This window comes from Homo sapiens, chromosome 15, assembly GCF_000001405.40.
Source record: "Homo sapiens chromosome 15, GRCh38.p14 Primary Assembly".
NCBI lineage: Eukaryota > Metazoa > Chordata > Mammalia > Primates > Hominidae > Homo > Homo sapiens.
The window spans coordinates 25,562,009-25,579,471 of NC_000015.10; the positions used below are offsets into that span (position 1 = coordinate 25,562,009).

The 17,463-nt window shown below is 42.6% G+C and overlaps 1 long non-coding RNA gene across 3 annotated transcripts in view, besides 1 other annotated feature; it reads right to left on the bottom strand.

The window, feature by feature from the left end:
* LINC02250 (long intergenic non-protein coding RNA 2250) overlaps window positions 1-16,798 on the bottom strand; it is a 122,536-nt gene extending 105,738 nt beyond the window's left edge. For all 3 annotated transcript variants that reach the window (NR_187215.1, NR_187214.1, NR_187216.1), the window contains exon 1: window positions 16,617-16,798. This is a non-coding gene — a long non-coding RNA (long intergenic non-protein coding RNA 2250). The remainder of the gene's footprint in view (window positions 1-16,616) is intronic.
* Window positions 1,439-2,003: an enhancer, noted in NCBI's record as "OCT4-NANOG hESC enhancer chr15:25808594-25809158 (GRCh37/hg19 assembly coordinates)". NCBI's record gives its function as "activates a minimal SCP1, AML or CMV promoter by ChIP-STARR-seq in naive H9 embryonic stem cells {active_cell/tissue: H9 hESC(naive)}" and the evidence as "EXISTENCE:reporter gene assay evidence [ECO:0000049][PMID:30033119]".
* Window positions 16,799-17,463: the final 665 nt, after the last annotated feature.

Consider the following 17,463-nt stretch of genomic DNA (forward strand, 5'->3'; position numbering starts at 1 on the left):
ACATGTATTTGCACATGTGTAAAATGACGTATGTACAATGTTAGTCTTTGAAGCATTTCTGCAGTAGCAAGAAATTAGGAATATCATCTAAATTCCCATCCACTGGGGTCTAAGCAGACATGGAACACCCATAGAATGGAAGACTGTGCATGTCTGTATGTATATATGTACGTATTTGTTTTTTGAGGCAGAATCTTTCTCTGTCACCCAGGCGGGAGTGCAGTGGTGCGATCTGGGCTCACTGTGACCTCTGCTTCCCAGGTTCAAGCGATTCTCCTGCTTCAGCCTCCTGAGTAGCTGGGATTACAGGCATGGGCCACCACACTGGGCTAATTTTTGTATTTTTAGTAGAGACGGGGTTTCGCCATGTTGGCCAGGCTGGTCTCAAACTCCTGACCTTAGGTGATCTGCCCACCTCGCTTTGCAAAGTGCTGGGATTACAGGCGTGAGCCACCGTGCCTGGCTGACTGTGCATGTATTTAAAAGGATGAAGTAGTCTGTATGAACTGATAGGACATTATCACTGAGATCTGGTGAAGTGGAAAAAGTATAGCCAAGTACATGTGCACAGTAGACCACCATGTGAGTAGAACAAACAAACAAAAAATGACTGTAAAACCCTGTTGATCCATAGCTATCTCTGGTGATACAAGTACACAAGAAACTGGTTGTATTAGTTTGCTAGGGCTGTCGTTAACATAGTACCACAACCGGGTGGTTTAAACAACAGAAATATATTGTCCGGAGTCTGGAAGTCCAAGATCAAGGTGTCAGCAGGGTTGATTCCTTCTGAGGCCTCTCTTCTTAGCCTGTAGAAGGCCGTCCTCTCTGTCTTCCTATAATCTTCCTTCTGTGTGTGTCTGTGTGTCTCCTTGTCCAAATTTTCCCTTTGTATAAGAACCCAATCTAGTTTATAAGAAATTAAACTAAGGCCCTCCCTAAGACCTCATTTTAACTTGATTACCTCTGTAATGACACTGTCTCCAAATAAGGTCACCTTCAGATACTAGGGGTTGGGACTTCCACATATCTTTTTTGGGAAGATCCCAATTCAGCCTACAACACTGATTAGCAGTAACGGCCACAGAAGGAGGAGAATTGATGGCCAAAGCTGCGAGGGAAACTTGTTGAACAATTTTGACCTTTCTGCATATACAGCCTAATTAAAAATTAAAACAAGTTTAAAACTGCAGAAGAAAAGAATGAGGGTGGAGAAATGGCCAAATAACTTCACAAAAGGAAAGTGTTGTAGGTACTTGAGGTCAAAACAGCAGTGGAGCAGTGGAAGGGCATGGTTCAAGAGGTGAGGATTTAGGATGGGAAGGAGAGCAGGGTCGGTGAAGGAAAAAGAAAAGGTGTGAGTAGGGGCTTTGGGATACAAGATGTCAGAGCACCTAGCACTCACCAGTCTCTCAGGGACACTTGGTGACACTGGGGAGCCCGGTCCAGCATGAGTGTGGAATCTGTGTTCACCCCCAGCAGCCTGCCCCCTGGTCACCCCAACCACTGAGGCTTTTTTGGACATGGCGTGATGACCTGATTTGGCGTTTTGTTGTCATTTGGGGTAAATGTCAGAAGGTGTGGAGGGCACTGTGATGTGGACCCTGATGTGCTGCGCTTGCTGCTCCCACACACTACACTACTGCTGACGTATAACAAAAATGTGAATGGGCGATGAATGCCAAGAAGTAGGGGAAAATTACATAACAAAGACACCTCTTTGAATCCTTTGAATCTGAGCACTTTTTGGTAACCCTGTCCTTCAATAGGCATTATAGTATTTTTGTGGTTTGCTCTGCAGTTGAAAGGGAAGAAAAGACCCTTGGATGTTGCTGTCCCTTGCTTGGGATTCTGCAGATATTGTACTACTGTTTTGTTGCACAATGTACCTCCTGGTGTCAGACAAGGAAACCCTTATCTCTTCTGCGAGTGGAGACAGATGGTTCTTCCCAGAAGTCAATGGTCAGTTCTTCCTTATGGAAGGACAAGGAAAATTCATGTCCTTTGGCCAACTGATGGCTCCATTAACAACCTTCAAAGCCTCTGCAAAAACCGTAGTCTCAACCAGGATGTTGATTTACTGGTCATGGCAAGAGTGAAAAGAAAAATCCTGGGATCTGTGGTCTGAAATATTTTTAGATGGTCTAAAAGGGCAAGACTTTAGAACTCAGTTTCAGTTCAACTAAAAAAACATCCTTTGACTGCCTGCTGCCTACTAGATTCTGAAATAAGTGTTGATGAAACAGCAAGGAATATGACATGTGGAGTTTTATCCTTCAGGAACTTTTAATCCAGTGGAGAAGAGATGTAAACAGGTGTCGTGAGTTTAAATCCAGCACACAACTCTACTTTTGTAAAACTCCGTTTCCACTTCAAGTCCCCCTCCCTGCTTTTGAGGCCTCACATGGCGCAAGGTCTCCCTGCACAGGTGGTTAGACATCCACCTGGGGCTGTACTAAGACACTCCCATTCCCTGAGGCCCTGTCAGTGGCTCTTCTGGCCCCTTCTGATCATCCCTGATATTCCAGCCCTCTTGGGGTGACACATCTCTCTGGGACATAGACAACCTTTTCTCCTGGGCACTGCAGACACTGGGTGTTCCAGCCATAGAGGATCACTTCCTACGTGGTCGTTCCTGCCTCTCTCCAGGAAGGTGTGATGATGGCCTCTGTCTGAAGTCCTTTTCTCCACCACAGTCGTTCCCACACAGAAGACGGCCTTGGCTGTGCAAAGCCATCCCCTCCAGCTCTCCACCGTCAGGGCTGCTCCCTCCTCTCCCACAGGGCTGTCTTGAGCCCCAGTAGTCCCCTAGTGGCCCCACACACTAGAGGCTTTCCTTAAGGAGCAGCGGCATGGGCTGGCTTCCCTCTGGCAGCTCCATGGCACTTTCTCTCTTGCCTGTCACCTCGTCTTTGCCACCTTAGCATAGTCACCGGCTTCCCTGTAGCTCTGAAGGCTCACAAACTCTTCCTAGTGTCTGCAGAAGTTCCTGCGAGTTCTCTTCAGTGGTTTTCTACGGAGAAATAAGCAGTCTTAAGACAAAACAAAAAGAAGAACGCTTGTCAGTCCCTCAACGCCGAGGGCCGTCTTAGCCATGTGAGCTCTTTGGGGCCTGGCTTTTCCCTTTTTAGCCTGGCCATGAACTCCTGGAACAAGATAAGTCCGCTTATGCCGTGCTCCGTTGCATACTTCCTGCCTGTGGTGACAGTCATGACATTTTATTAAGTAAGAAGACCAGGGAAGACCTGCTGAGGAACAGGCTTTGGGTCTGAGATCGAAAGGTTGCCTAGTACTGAGAACCTTGCAAATGGAGCAACAGAGTGTTCTGTGCAAAGTGGCATGCGGTGCAGAGGAAGCGTTACTACCTGATGTTGTTTCATATCGTTATTTACTAAACAGTTAATTGTCTTTCTTGCTCACAGTGGATTCCACAGCACCTACATTAGTGCCCAGCACAGCAAACATGTGTCAATAAATATGCACTGGAAGGTTATTCATTGCCCAAATCAAATTGGTGGGCACCTTCTCGGCCGATCATCACTGTCTCAGTGATGTCTAAACCACATTTAGATACCAGTTGTCCTAGAGAGACGCAGCACTTTTGGCCGTGCTTCTCTTTCCTCACTCTTGGCCCTTTCCTCACTCTGGGCACCCTGCAGCTGACAGCCCACTTGGCTCCAGGAGCTTGGAGAGAGGCGTGCTGACCTCTGCTCAACAAGGGCTTGTCAAGAGCTTTGTGAAATCCCTGCTTGGACAAGTAGCCCGGAATTCTTATCAGGAAAGGAGGTTGTGGAAGTGGGTGTCATGCTGTCACTATCTCTGATGTTGATATAGGAGTTAAGAAGAAATTATTTAGGTGGATAGTGAGGTAAAGTCGTCCTTGGTAAGGTTTTCCTTTTAATGAAAAGCCGCCCCAAAATAATTTCTTTTCTATCAAACAGCAGCCTCTAAAATCACTTTGCAAACATAGGCAAGCTGGAAGCTTGTGGGGGGGAACGCTGGGAGCTGCACCAATAGGAAAAGGCTAGGTGGGGAAGACATGTTCTGTGTGGCTGCTCCGTCTTCTCCTTTCCTTGTCAATCACATACACAGTAGGGAGCAGGCAACATGGCACTGGCCCAGTACAGACCACATTTGCATAATACACCATTCGGGTAGGGCTGCCAGCCTCTTGCATGCTTTGTAAATGTTGTGTCTGGAATTTGGTTCTTTCCGGTGGGTTCTTGGTCGGGCTGACTTCAAGAATGAAGCCGCAGACCCTTGGGGTGAGTGTTACAGTTCTTAAAGATGGTGTATCCAGTTTGTTCCTTCATATGTTCCGATGAGTCTGGAGTTTCTTCCTTCTGGTGGGTTCGTCCTCTTGCTGGTCTCCAGGAGAGTCTTCACTTCTGACTCTAAAAGTGAAGCCGCAGACCTTCGCAGGGTGCATTACAGCTCTTAAAGGTGTCACGTATAGAGTCGTTTGATCCTCCCCATGGGTTCGTGGTCAGGCTGGCTTCAACAGTGAAGTTTGTGGTCTCCATGGCTTTAGGAGTGAAGCTGCAGACCTTTGTGGTGAGTGTTACAGCTCATAAAGGTAGTGCAGACCCAAACAGTGAACAGCAATAAGATTTATTGCAAAAACCTGAATGATAAACTTTCCACAGTGTCGCACAGGACCCAGCAGATTGCCACTGCTGGCTTGGGTGGCCTGCTTTTATTCCCTTATTTGGCCCCACCCACATCCTGCTGATTGGTCCGTTTTACAGAGAGCTGATTGGTCCATTTTACAGAGTGCTGAGTGGTCCGTTTTACAGAGTGCTGATTGGTCCGTTTTTATAGAGTGCTGATTGGTGCGTTTGCAAACCTTTAGCTAGACACAGAGCACTGATTGGTGCATTTACAATTCTTTAGCTAGACAGAAAAGTTCTCCAAGTCCCCACCCGACCCAGAAGCCCAGCGGGCTTCACCTCTCAATGTCACAACGGGTCCAACCAATCTTTGGGTCATGTGTAAATCAAACACCACCTCTCAAGCCTGTCTATAAAATGTGGTGCATTCTGCCATATGCTGGAAGTCCCATTGAGGCGCCCCTCTCACTTGCAAGAGAGAGAGCTATTCTCCTTCTCTTTCTCTTTCTTTTGCCTATGAAAGTTCCACTCTTAATCCCATTCCACGTGTGTCCGTGTCCTTGATTTCCTTGGCATGAGGCACCAAACCTTGGGTATTTACCCCAGACAACAATGCCGCTTCAGTGTTATGCTCCTGGTTTGGAAATTAATCACTTTGTGTGTGTGTGTGTGTGTGTGTGTGTGTGTGTGTGTGTAGAAGCAGGTTAATTTTTAAAGACCTTTATTTTCCTGGCTTCATTTTATTTTTAAGAAGAGAATTAGGAATCTTTTCTAGTTAAAAAACATCTGCCCTTGCCATTCTGTATACTTATGGCCAGATCCCGGATGCTGCTTTATCAGTTTGTGTTCTCTGCCTCGTTGTTTTAGGCTTGCATTTTCCTTATTTCACTAAGGGTCAAGACTATCGCAATAAGGGAGAGAGACAGAACTCAACTCCAAGTACAGCAATGACATCTGGGGATTTGTAGCCAACGGGCAAGGAGACAGGATCAATGGATGAAAAATTACTAAGAGGAATTTGATGAGTTGTCAAAGGTGGGGATTGAAACTGGGCTTAGCAGGCCAAGGACAAGGCTTAGTTAAGAAGAGGGTTCCAGGAGCCTGGCTAGGAGGGAGTCCTTATCAAAATTCAGTGACAAAAGAAGCTTGGTATGCTAGAGAACAGTTCATGTGGCATTTAACTCAGGAACTCTGACATGAACTAGACTATTGTGATCAGGGGAGGAGGCATAAGAAAGGGGCTGCACAGATGTCCTTGAAATGTAGGGTCAGGGGAGTCAGGAAGGCCAGAGAGAGACATCACCTGCTGGAGCCCTTGACCGTCCCTGCAGGGGCGAGAACTGTAGCCTGAAGAGGCAAAAGACAGATGGGTGGACTGTGTTTTAACATGGAAATGGCTCCTTTTGATCTGGCTGGGCTACCAACGTGTAACAATGGAAAGGAACAACAAGGCATCAGGCATGAATGTGATTGGTGAGCCCAAGGCCGACCCACAGAAGCCCTGTGGGCAGTGCCCTGTGTGTTTTTGAGAGCTGTGTCAGCTCCGTGGAGGAAGCAGGAGCTTGCAGGCTCATCCCCAATCTGTGTCTTGGAGGATGAGGGCATCCAACCTGCCTCCTGCATGGGCGAGTGCCAGGGCATAGCCTGCTTGAGGGCAGGTGAGGTCGTCGGGATGAGAGAGTCATTTTTATGGCCCTAAATTCCACGACTAAATGTATTCTCATTATACATTTATGCTTTTTAGAGAGCACGTCACAGAATTGAGCTCATTTTAAGCAAGGTTTCCACATGTTTACATATATTTCTGAAGCTAGATGGAAAGAAAAGACATATGGGGGAATTCCAAAAGTGGCTTCTGCATGCTGCCCATTGAACGTTTGCTCAGGAACACTGCACTGATAGTATCGTGGGTGGAGCCAACAGTTATCCCAGGAGAAGGCAGAGCCTGGCGACCCTGACCCTGGGACCCTGGCACAGGCCTGAACACTGGCACCCATGTATGGAAGGTGGAAAATGCTTCCAGGTGCCTTTTGAGTTCCAGATGCCATTGAAGACAGCAGAGAGGCTCAACCCAGCCAGTAGACCTTCTACCTTCATTGCAAGGATGCTTTTTAAATCTTTACTTAGAAAGTTCAGTTCCTTGGCTCGCACAAAGGACAATGTGAAGAACAATTGAACTGCTGAGAACATCCAGATTCGACAACATTCGGAGAGACAGTCAGTGACTGATGAGAGGAACCAGCTTATATTTCTGAAGCTTGGAGGCCTGCTGCCAGGACTCTTATTTAAAACATGCCTCAGAATAGGCCACTGTGGGCGCCAGCAAGACTAGCCTCAGAATACTTTGGAATAACCCCATGCTTTCGTGGCCAAAGCTGTATATTTTTGGATGCCAGGTTTCTATTTGAAACTTGTCACTGTGACCTGCAGACTGTGCTGGTTTGTAGCTGCTGCCAATCGCACAGTCGGTGAGTTTTTCTCCCTGAGTGAGGATCCAGAAATGCATGCCCAGCTGAGCTCCCAGCATATTGATAATCTCCTCACCCCTTGAATGAAAATGATAACAATTGCTTCAGTTAAAATGTCAGATGCTTTTGGTTAAAAATAACCACAGAAATCCTAATTTTAGCTACCTCAACCACAAAGGGGAGTGTTGGCCTGAATCACAGTCTGGAAGGAAGATCCAGTGATAGGTGTTGGGGCACAGGAAATGATTCCCCAAAATATGGCGCTTTGGCATGCGGAGTGCTTTGACAATTGAAAGGCCTCCAAAATAAGCCTTAGGGTCAAGGTTTCTCTCTGACTTTTTCCCCACCTCTTTGTCTCCCTGATACTCTTTCCTGAAGCACCAAGAGGGACTCTTCTCTAGAATTTCCTTATCTAAGAAAGCTTAAATGCAATTGTCTTAAGACTCCCTCCTTAGGAATCTCATTAAAGAAGCAGGACGATCAAGCACAGAAGAGAAAAGACTCAGAGTCCTCACTGTGCCCAGACGGACTTTTCATCTATTCTTCTAAGAGCAGCTCCAAGAGATTACCTGGGGGGCTTTACCTGCAGAATAAGACAACCTTTGTTCCTGTGCAGCTCTGACCCCACTTTCCCAGAGCATCTGCCTCCTGCCTTTGGGGTCCATTCATCTTCCCTAATGATTTCCTGCCCATCAAAAGATCATCTACATTTCCCATCACCTCCACCCCTAGGAAAGGGTAAATGAGCTTCTGTAGGGCACCGAGTAAGTGGGTGATCACTCTGTGATTGTCCCCTGTGCACATTAATACATTTGTTTGTCTTTTTTCTCTGTTAATCTGCCTTTCGTCAGTTGATTTTCAGCAAGCCTTCAGAGGGCCAAAGGGAAGTTTCTCCTTCACTCCTACATAGGCATTCCTAGCACTTTGCAAAATCTCCTTCCCAGACGTGAGACCCCTTGGAGTTAAGCATATTTCAGGACCAACAATAAAAATGATGTGTGTTACTTTGGGGGAGCATTAAGAACCAGGGTGTAAGTCTCCACCTTTCTCCCCATGGCAGGTCATCGTGGAGTCACACATTGATATGAAGGTGCACAGGACAGCCTGGAATGCACTGCCACCCATCAGGGAGCACAGCCCTGGAGCCCACGCAGGCCCACAGCTGGCCATGAGTGAGAAACTAACTTTTGCGAGTTGATGCTGAGGTCATGGTTTGAGATCACCCCATCTTCTTGCTCATCCTGACTGGTAGAGTCTTCAGGGTGGGTTTCATCCAATGACTCAACAATGACCCCGTGGACTGGCTCTTTCTGTCCCTCTGCCCTCTGAACCACGGCAAAATGGCTTCTGTAGTTCCAGAGACTTAAAGTCTGGAGCTACACTACCCAGAAGGTGCCTACAGCCCCGCTTCCATCACACTGGCCAAAATCAGGCTATAGGCCCATTTCCGAAGCAAGTTTTTCATCCAGGGAATGCCATAGACTTGGGTAAAGGGCCAGCCACTGGGGTAAGATCAGGCTGTGGGATCGCATAAATCCTATTAGATGAATCAAAGCCAGCTCCTGTAGGGGGGCATGAGGCTATTGTACCCTGAGGCACATAGAATAGGGGAGGGGTTAGGGAGAAGAGAATGAGGTGTGGGTCGGAGATTAGGAGGCAGGGAAGCAAAGTCATGTGCAGGGTGAACATGAGCCTGTCAAGATCCACCCCAAGGCCTTCCTAACTTTCCTGCAGCATGGCACACATTTCATTTTTCTCAAGATCAATGGGGCAGTGAACTTCTGAGTTCACAGTGAAGAATGAACCTGTAAAAAACAAAATAAGCCAGGCACAGGAAGACAAATACAGCATGATCTCACTTATATATATGTAATCTGAAAATGTTGAACTCGTAGATATGGTGAATAAAATCGTGGCTAGCAGGGGCTGGGGCATGGGGGAAGGGGAATGGGTAGAGGTTGTTTAAAGGGTACAAAGTTTCAGTTACATAGGAAGAATAAGCTTCTGAGATCTATTGCACAGCATGGTGAATATAGTTAATGTATTGTATATTTCAAAACCGCTAAAAGTAAATACCAAATGCCTCACCACAGAAAATGATAAGTGATGTGGTGGACAGGTTAATTAGCTTGATTTAATCATGCCACTCCAAACTTCACATTATACTTCACAAATATATACAATTATTATTTGTCAATTATGCAATTTAGATTTTTTAAAAAAGAAATTGTAAAAACAAGTTTTACAAAAGGCTCTTCTAAGTCCATTAAGAAAATGAAGGCCAAGTATGGTGGCTTAATGCCTATAATCCCAACACTTTGGGAGGCCAGTGTGGGAGGATTGCTTGAAGCCAAGAGGTTGAGGCCAGCCTGAACAACAAAGTGAGTCCCCATCTCTACAGAAAATAAAAAAAAATTAGCCAGGTGTGGTGGCATGCACCTGTAGTCCCTGCTACTTGGAAGGCTGAGGTGGGAGGCTGAGGTGGGAAGATGGCTTGAGTTCAGGAGTTTGAAGCTGCAGTGAGCTAATATCGTGCTACTGCACTCCAAGCTGGGAGACAGAGCAAGACCTCAGAAAAACAAGATCATGAAAACATTCTCTCTTATCTCCTTCCAGAATTGTTTTAGCTTTCACATTTAGGTATATGACCCAACTTAAACTAATTTTCATTTTTAGGGTAAGATATGGGTAAGGTGTTTTCTTTTTTCCATACAGGTATCCAGTTGCTCTGTTTATTATCCAGACCATCTGTTTCCATCTGAATAGCAGCAGCACCTTCGTGGTAAACCACATGTGGGTCTATTTCTGGATCCTCTGTTCTATTCCACTGTTCTCTTTGTCCATCCTTCCTCTAATACCAGTCTATCTGAACTACTGTAGCTTCAAAAGAATTCTTGAAATCCTTGAACTTTGCTCTTCTTCATTAAGTATTCTGTTTCTTTCAGGTCCTTTGTCTTTTCATATATATTTTAAAATCAGCTTCTCAATTTCATCTCTTTAAAAAAACTGTTTAGCTATATCTGAATTCATCAAAAGATACGGGAGGAATTGACATCTAAACAATACGAACTTTTCAACCTCTAAACATGGAACATCTTTTCATTTATTTTGGTCTTCTTTCATTTCTTTCAGTAAGGTTTTCTAGCATATTAATCAGAATTCTCCAGAGAAACAGAAACAACAGGATGTGTATATACAGTGAGATTTATTTTTAAGGAATTGGCCTACAAGACTGTGGAAGCTTGTAAGTCCAAAATCTGCAGGGTAGATTGGCAGGCTAGAGACGCGGGGGAGAATGTCAGTCCAAGTTGCAAAGGCAGTCAGCTGGCAGAGTTCCTTCTTGCTCAGGAGAGGCCAGTCATTGTTCTATTGAGCGCCTTCAGCCGACAGGATGAGGCCCACTCACATTATGGGGGGTAATCTGCTTTACTCCCAGTCTATCAGTTTTGGTTAATCTCAACAAAAACCACCTTCACAGAAACATCCAGAATAATGCTTGACCAAATAACTGGACACTGTGACCCAGCCAAGTTGACTATAAAATTAGCCAGTGCAAGTCCACCCCTTGTCATCTGGGCAGCTATACACATCTCCTTAAACCATACTTAATTTCCAAACAAAGATGATAACAAGGCCATCTTTCACCTATCATAATTGTCCTGCATACAACCAAAAATGCACTAACTCCCTCCCCAAAAGAGTATGCAACGTCCTCAGGTGATGCTTATGCCTCTCGATAGCCTGCAACTTAAATACTATGATGTAAAGTTAACAATACAGTCATGTACCATATAATGACCTTATGGTCAAGAACAAAACTTATATACAACAATGGTCCCATAAGATTATAATACTGTATTTTTACTCTACCTTTTCTATATTTAGATATGTTTAGATATACACATACTGACAAGTGTGTTACAACTGCCTACGGCATTCAGCATAGTAACATGCTATACAGGTTTGTAGCCTAGGAGCAGTAGGCTGTACCATATAGCCTAGGTGTGTAGTAGGTGTACCATCCAAGTTTGTGTGAGTACACTCTACAATGTTTGCATAACAATGAAATCACCTAATGATGCATTTTTCAGAACATATCCCTGTCATTAAGCAACACATGACTATACTTAAATACTATGATAAAAAGTCAATAAGAGGATAAGAGAGGGAAGAAATGAGATATTTTCTAAATATACACACACATAAACAAACATATTCATAACAAAATAAGGATGAAATATTCATAACAATTAAAAATCCTGGTTTCTGGAACTGGTCACATGATCATAGCTGGTGCTTACAGCTACCTTCTTCTACTGCCATTCTGTATCCCCTTTACCCTCAGCTGGTTGTGTTTTTATACAGGGTAGAGTGATCCAAATCTTAATTCCCGAAGTGTCTGAGCCATTAGTAGTCCTGCCTGGATTGGGTTGGTGTAGTTTTCCATTGACTTTAACCACAGGGCATGGTAACACTAAGAGACGTCCTAAAGGAGTTTCTGTATTCTAGACATACTCTTTCTTACCTCCATTGTGGAGTAGTACTCCAATTTCTGCTTGGTAGTGAGAATCAACCACCCCAATCACCACAGTAACTCCCTTATTTGCCTACTCATTCAGAGACCTGAGGACTCTAAAGTGGCGGGGCAGCCGTCTTCTAGTTCATTGGAATCATTTTTGTGTCTCTTAGTGGAAGCCTTTTTTCCCTTTGGAACTAAGACCTTTATGCCAACAGAGTAGAAGTTCACAGGAACAGGAGGCAAAAATTTTGCTGGGGAGTGAATAGGAGTAATAGGGAATAGTACAACTCCCATTTCTACCTACCCCCTGATTCCTACCCATGAACCTGTCATAGAAACAGCACCATATATTAAATACTGATTCGGATCATATACAGCCTCCTGGAGAACCTTATCCTAGCCCTGCAAGGTATTGCCAGAAGCAATGCTGGGTGGAATACCATGATGGTGGATAAGGCATCCTATAAGTCCATGGATGGTAGTTTTGGCAGAAGCATTGTGTGCAGAGAAGGCAGATCCATTTCCAGGGTAAGAACCTATTCCAGTGAGAACAAAACACTGCCCTTTCCATGATGGACGTTGCCCAAGTGTAATCAATCTACCACCAGGCAGGCTGGCTGATCGATCTCCCTGGGGAATGATGTGATTCTGTGGACTCAGTGTTAGTTTCTGCTGCTGGTAAATTGGGCACTTAGCAGATGCTGTAGCCAGGTCACCTTTGGTGAATGGAAGTCCATGTGACTGAGCCCATGCATAGCCTCCATTCCTGCCACCATGGCTACTTTGTTCATGAGCCCACTGGGCAATGGCTGTGATGGGTGGGGAAAGAGGCTGACTGCTTTTGTTTTGTCTGTTTATTTTATTAGTTATTGAGAGAGGTAAGTTAATATATCAACTATGATGTGGATTCATCTCTCTCTTTAGTTTCTGTAAACTTTTGTTTCATATATTTAAAAATTATAATATTAGGTGCATACAAAGTTAAAGTTGTTATGACTTCCTTTTGAATTTACCTACTTACCACTACGAAATGTTACAATCTATCTCTCAGAATATCTTTAACTTTGAAGTCTATTTATATTTTAATTATTAATGTCACCATGACAGATTTCTTTTGATATGTGTTTGCATGTTTTTTCATCTCTTTACTTCATCCTATCTATAAATGTATATTTGAAATATGTTCATTGCCAATAACATATAGCTTGGGCTTTTAAAAATAGCTGACTCACTTTGTATTTTAATTGGTGTATTTAGTCCATTTATGTTTAATAATAATATATAACTGATCTGGTTTGTTTGTTTATCATTTTGCTATTTGTTTTCTATTTGTCCTGAAATTTATTTTCTTTTTTCTCTGTTCCTGCCTTCCATTATATTAATCAGGTATTTAAAAAATATTCTGTTTTATCTTATCCATTAGGATTTTGTTATACTTATAACAAAATGTTATAGTATACTTTATCTTATAATGCACTTCTATCTTATCTATTAGTATGTTATTTTTTTGCTATAAAAGATTAGTATCAATCTTTTCATCATTACACTAGAAATTTCAGAATGCAATCTTACCTTATTATGGTCTGCCTTAAATTAGTATTTTAACACTTCCCCAATGGTCTGATAACCATGCAACAATTTAACTCCATTTACCATCCCTTCCTTTTTTGCTTTTGTTGTCATGTATTTTATTCTACATAAATTATCAACTTCATGAAACATGTTTATAGCTTTTTTTAAACAATAGATTTTACAATTTATACATGTATTTACTCTTTCCAGTGCTGTTCACTTCTTGAACGTCTATCTCTCTGTAAAGATGTAGATGCTTGAAACAGTGGGATCCCTCCATGACAATAAGGAGAGAGATGTGGCCAGTATGTGGCACACCGAAAGATCCTGAGAAATTATGGACTTGCAGAACCAGCCCTGGGACTGCCAGCATCCAGGCTTGTCATTGAGTAAATCTGTCTACTCCTTTATGTTACCAGTCACTAAAATACCTAAGCTAATGCTCCAACACTACCATTCTCGCAGTTATAACCAGTCTCAAAATATGGGTCATTTAGATTCTTCTATTTCTCTCTCTCCCCCCACCCATCACCAATTATTGATGCTAAGGGTTTTGCCTCTACCCTGCCTCCCACAGCAGTCCTTTATTTCCATAGTTACACCAGACTAGAGTCTGGACCCAAGTACCTCTTTTCTGACACTTTCAACAGCCTCCTCGCTCTTTTCAGATTTCTCCATGAAATCCATTCTACATTCTAAGATGAATATCTCTTTAAATATGGCATTCATCTTCAAACCAGCAGTTCTAACTTTTTGGTCTTAGGAACCTTTCACATTTCTAAACTTATTGAGAATGACACGAGCTTTTTTTGGTGAGTTATACCTTTTGATAGTTATCGTATCTACAAATTAAAACAGAAAAATGTTTGAAGTATACTTACTAAGTCATTTAAAAATACCGAGAGTAAACCCATTAAAGGTTAAAATAAATAACACTTGTTATGAAAAATAACTATAACACAAATAGTGAAGAGTGACATTACATTTTTCAAATTTCTGTAATGTCTAGCTTAGAAGACAAAAGAGTTCTCATATCTATTTGACTTGAGATATTCATGCTGCTGAAATATTTTGTTTTAGTTGAAGTTGATGACTAAAATCCAGTTGCATATAGTATTTGAGGGAAGGGAGTATTTTAATACATTTTTATGGTAATTATAGATATGCTACTTTGATACTACCCTCGAACTCAACAATTGGTAGCTTCTTAAAAGTTTTGCAATGTAGATTCTGAAACCATTTCAATAAATTTGTTAACTGTACATTAAAATTAATTGGTCTAGTTTGTACTTTGGATGGATCTTTTCCTCATGCCTGATTGTGTAAAATTATGTACCAGACACTTGGAAAATATTAGTTTACTGAATAACGCAACTCTTTCAAATATTTCCACGTTTCATTATATATTAAAAATTGCATTTATTGATAGTACCACCAATCTTATAAAAAATTTAAGCATTGGGAAGTCATCAAGCTCATGGTAGCAGATACAAGTTTTCCAAAATTTTAATTTTCATTTGAAAACTTAAATGTAATCATTAGCAACAAATACTAATTCCTGTCAGCTGTTTCCCTTAAAGTAACAGGCTTACCTTATTCATTTTCAGGACAAGCCTGCTGTAGGGGAGGGAAAATTTTCCCATTACCCTTCCTCTGAGGATTTGATAATTGAGTTTATGAAATCAACAGACATCAGGCAGATTAGCAGGAGAAAAAGTATACAAATGTATTATGTGCGTGGGAACATCAAAGGAAAGAAAAGTGAATACCCTCAAACCCAGTGAGATCTAGAAACTTACATACCCTCCTCTTAGGAGAGAGGGTAGGAGAGATGTAGGCAACTTAGGGGACAGTAAATTACTTTTGTAAAAGATGGGGTTAGAAGAGGAGATAACAGCCTGTGACAAAGCCTGTGTGTGGCATCAACTTCTACTCTCCTCTCCTGTGATAGGAGTCAATCTTCTTCAGTCGATGAGATTCCTTGGGGATGAGATAGATGGCAGTTCAATTCCTTTTGGAGGATCTGTCTCTAGGCAGATAGGGGAGTTCAGAGACAGCCCCTCCCTGCATTTGCCGTTTCCCTGGTGCCTTCAGTTTGAAGTAATCAGCACACCAAAGTGACATATTTTGGGGTGGCATTTCCCAAACTCCTTCAACTCCCAAATACGCAAACCTAAATAATCACCATTTGTCAGTTGTTCTTTCAAGTAAAAATTGTGTTTCATGAAAAAAGCAGGTGGCTTAGCTCACAACTCAAATAATTGCACAAGTCCTTTCCTTCAAGGTAACCATCCTACTTTATTATGTAGCTGCAGTACGTGATGTGTACTTCCCATCTTATCACACGGAATGTTATAAAGTTGTGTACTCAAGAGTGGAGATTTAAAAATTTAAACGTGTTTTTTTTTTTTTTTTTTTTTTTTTTTTTTTCTGATTCACTAGGACTTTCTTTAGTGAAACTGGCTTTTTTAGTTTTCCGGCAAGTATTTGTACCTTGACTACTAATACAGTTTGGCCTCACTTTGATTTGTGCTAAGTCACTGCAGTTTCACCCAGCATTGTGTTTACACCATCATTGTCAGGGTTAACACAATGGAAAGTCCAAATAACGTCCAGAAAAATAGTTTTGGCTTCGCAGACACTTTGAAAGGGTCTTGGCGACCCCCAAGAGTTGACAGACTATACCTTGGGAGCCATTGAGCTAGGTCATTTCAGGTCTCTCCAAGACCTAAAGAACAAATAACTCATTTTGTAAATCCAAAGTCTTTAAGTGAGGCCACAAACAGGTAACCTGAAGATCAAATCTAGCCTGTAGACATGTTTTATTAATATTTGACTAACTTAGGGTTCTTTAAAAATTTGAATTTGAAAGCCCTTAGGGCAGTGTTTGTTGATAAGCACCACTCCTCATCATCTCTCCCCAATCTAGCTACATTCATGTGAATTGCTCATCTAATCACTAAAAGCAAAGCCTTATCCCAACCTTTGCTTCCAACATCTCCTATTACTCCTTCAAACACACCCTTCTCCTGAGGCTCATTGCTCCTGTTACTTGGAATGCACCCTTTACTTAACCACATATCTAAGTTTTTTTTCATTCTGCAAAATTAAACTTGTCACCCGTCTCCCCTAGAAAACTTTCACTGGAAACTCTGATCCAGGTGACAGCATCCCTTCAAGTCCTGACTAAAGACTGGGCAATGTCACTCCTTGGTTGGAAAGTCACATGCTACCTCTGACTTCTTGTGAATTGTTACCTTTTCTCCTTATTTAGAGTTTCATAGTATATGTTTGCTATGGCTTGGATGTCTCCTCCAAAACTCTTGTTGAAATGTAGTTGTCAATGTAATGGTGTTGGGAGAGAGGGCTTTTAGGAGGTGATTAGGTCATGAAGACTCTGTCCTCATGAATGGATTAATGCCATTATTGCAGGAGTGGGTTACTTACTGTGGGAGTGGATTCCTGATAAAAGGATAAGTTTTGGCCTCCATTTTCTTGCTGTCTCCCATGCTGTCTTTCTCTTCTGCCTTTCCTCTTCTGCCCTCTGCCCTCTGCCCTTCCACCATGGGGTAATGTAGCACAGAACCCCACCAGATGCTGCTGCCATGCCCTTGGTGTTCCCAGCCTCTAGAACCTGGAGCCAGTAAACTTCTATTCTTTGTAAATTACCCAGTCTCTGGTATTCCATTATAGCAACAGAAAACTGAATGAGACAATGTTTTTTGTTGCCTTGGAAACAAAAAGTTGGAAACTACTTAAGGAAAGAAAACAATTTTATACCTTTGGAGAACATATAATGTTCTGCCTAAGGCAAGCATCTAACACACACTTCTTCAAATAATGAGTGGATACTTCTAAAGCAGTATAAACAGAAAGCTGATGCAGATTCAGCTAAAATTTATTGTCTTGTTCTTACAGACCAGGTACTGTGTGCTGTGTAAGGTGCTGTATTAGGGTTCTCCATACAGATGTGCACACACACACACACACACAGATACATATATGGCAACACACACACCACAGTACTGTGGAGACTGGCATGTCCTAAATCCACAGGGTAGGCCTGCAGGCTGCAAATTCAGGCAAAATTCCTTCTTCTTTGAGGAATCAGATTTTGCTCTTATGGCCTTCAACTGATTAGATGAGGCTCACCACACCATGGACATTTATGAGCTTTACTAAAAGTCCAGTGATTATAAATGTTAATCACATTTTAAAGAGTCTTCACAGCAACATCTAGACTACTGTTTGACTACACAACTAGGCACCATAGCCTGGCCAGATTGACACGTAA